This window comes from Homo sapiens, chromosome 11, assembly GCF_000001405.40.
Source record: "Homo sapiens chromosome 11, GRCh38.p14 Primary Assembly".
Lineage (NCBI taxonomy): Eukaryota > Metazoa > Chordata > Mammalia > Primates > Hominidae > Homo > Homo sapiens.
The window spans coordinates 40,011,069-40,013,402 of record NC_000011.10 but is presented as its reverse complement, the minus strand read 5'-3'; positions in this window follow the sequence as shown (position 1 = coordinate 40,013,402).

Below are 2,334 nucleotides of genomic sequence, written 5' to 3'. Positions count from 1 at the left end.
TATTTTGAACTGTCCATTAATTTTGGATTTAAGCTTCTAGTTTTATATGCAAATAAATTTATTTACTTATTTCCCCCCAAAAACCTGTAATTTGATATCTTGCCATAAATTCTCATAGTACATCAAAGTCTGAACTTCAGGGCATACTCTATTAGTAAAAATGATAATAATAGTAATTATGATTTATTGAGCATTTACTATATGCCTAATATTTTTACATATTTTATTTTATTCTTCCACCAAGTTTGTGACATAAATTCTATTTTACAGATGACAAAACTGAGACTGAAATACTAGAAACTTTTGATTCAGGTACCAAAGGAAATAAAGAAGAACCAATATTAAATACAGGTATGACTGACTCCAAAACCTGTATTTCCTGGAGACACAGGGACTATGTAGAGGTGACTCAGCATCCCCTGAAATGGGGATAGGTACAGAAAAAGGGGTGCCAACAGCTGGGCCTCCGATCTTAACTTCTACCAGAGCAACTAATTTATTATTGGCTTATATACTGGATTTGTATATTTTCTGAATAAGGATTTAGTTGCTAAAATATTTTTAAAACCACTCTTTTTTTTTTTTTTTTTAAGATGGAGTCTCACTTTGGCACCCAGGCTGGAGTGCAGTGGTGTGATCTTAGCTCACTGTAACTTCCGCCTCCCGGGTTCAAGCAATTCTGTGCCTCAGCCTCCCGAGTAGCTGGGACTGCAGGTGTGCACCACCACTCCTGGCTCATTTTTGTATTTTTAGTAGAGACAGGGTTTCATCATATTGGTCAGGCTGGTCTCGAACTCCTGACCTCATGATCTGCCCACCTCAGCCTCCCAAAGTGCTGGGATTATAGGCGTGAGAAGCAAACATGTTTTGGGATAAAAATGGGTATCATTATTCTCTCATTATTTCTTTAATATACTCACATTGTTTTGTCTTTAACAGATTAAATGCTACTTTAAAAAGTAATCTCAAAATTACCTTGCTATAAAAAACTTTCCCTCACCTCCTGACTCCTCTTAGCTTCAGGCTAGATTGTGATCAAAGGCCTTCCACCAGGTTCACTTTGGGCACATTATTCCAGGTCATTATTTCTGTGATTGCCATTTTAATAGCTTGATTCTGAAGTTTTTAAATTCTTCTCATCTATTTAATACAAAAATTTCTTTTATGTTTTAGAATAGGAACATGTAGGAGAAGACAAACTATGTTTCTCTGAGATTACAGGTCCATCCCGCTCAAAAGAAACCTATTATTTTTTTGATGGAGAATGGGATTTAGGGACAGCGTGTGAGGAATGGAACTGTTACTGTCACTTTGCTGGGCTGGTGCTGCTACCTTAGTGTAATATATGATTCACTCCCTGTCATTTAGTGGTTTATTGCCATTAATGCTTTTAGATACAAACTCCTTCAAAGTTTCTACTGTAAATAAGCCAACATTCTGAGACACTTACAAGTGTCCTGAAGTCAAGGACCTTGTCTGCTTCATTTTTGCATTGCCTTCTCTTCTCCCCGTTATCTAAGACTTTCAAAATTAAGACATTCATAAAATATTTAGAGGAGAGAATGCAGAAATAAGGGTATAATAGAAGGATCAAACACTATTGGATTTATTTGGATTTATTTGTGATTACAAGTAATATAATGGAAATTGTATTGGCTGGGCTCCGTGGCTCACGCCTGTAATCCCATCACTTAGGGAGGCCGAGGCAGGCGGGATCACGAGGTCAGGAGATCCAGACCATTTGTGCTAACACGGTGAAACCCGTCTCTACTAAAAATACAAAAAATTAGCCGGGCGTGGTGGCAGGCACCTGTAGTCCCAGCTACTCAGGAGGCTGAGGCAGGAGAATGGCGTGAACCTGGGAGGCGGAGCTTGCAGTGAGCCGAGATTGCGCCACTGCACTCCAGCCTGGGCGACAGAGCAAGACTCTGTTTCAAAAACAAAAAAAAAATTAAAAAAAAAAAGAAATTGCTTTGTATTTATGTGTAGTGTATGCGTGTATGTGTATGATATTTAATGCCTTCTGTTTACACATCTACACATATACATGCATACATATACTACATGAGGGCAAAGTTATCTTTCTTACCACGGTGGTCTCTGCACTTGGGGTGAATGTAGTAAGTTCTCAATGTTTATATGTTAAATGAATAAACTAATTTACACTACTTTCAATTTTTGTATTATAATATATGTAAGGTTATAAGGGAGTAACTGTGTCTACTACAAAGAAACTCTTGTCTACTTTTGCTATACTGCACACTTGTAGTTATTTGACTATAAACTAAATTTGGCACTAAGTTTCTGTACATATTTATGAATTAAGACATGAGA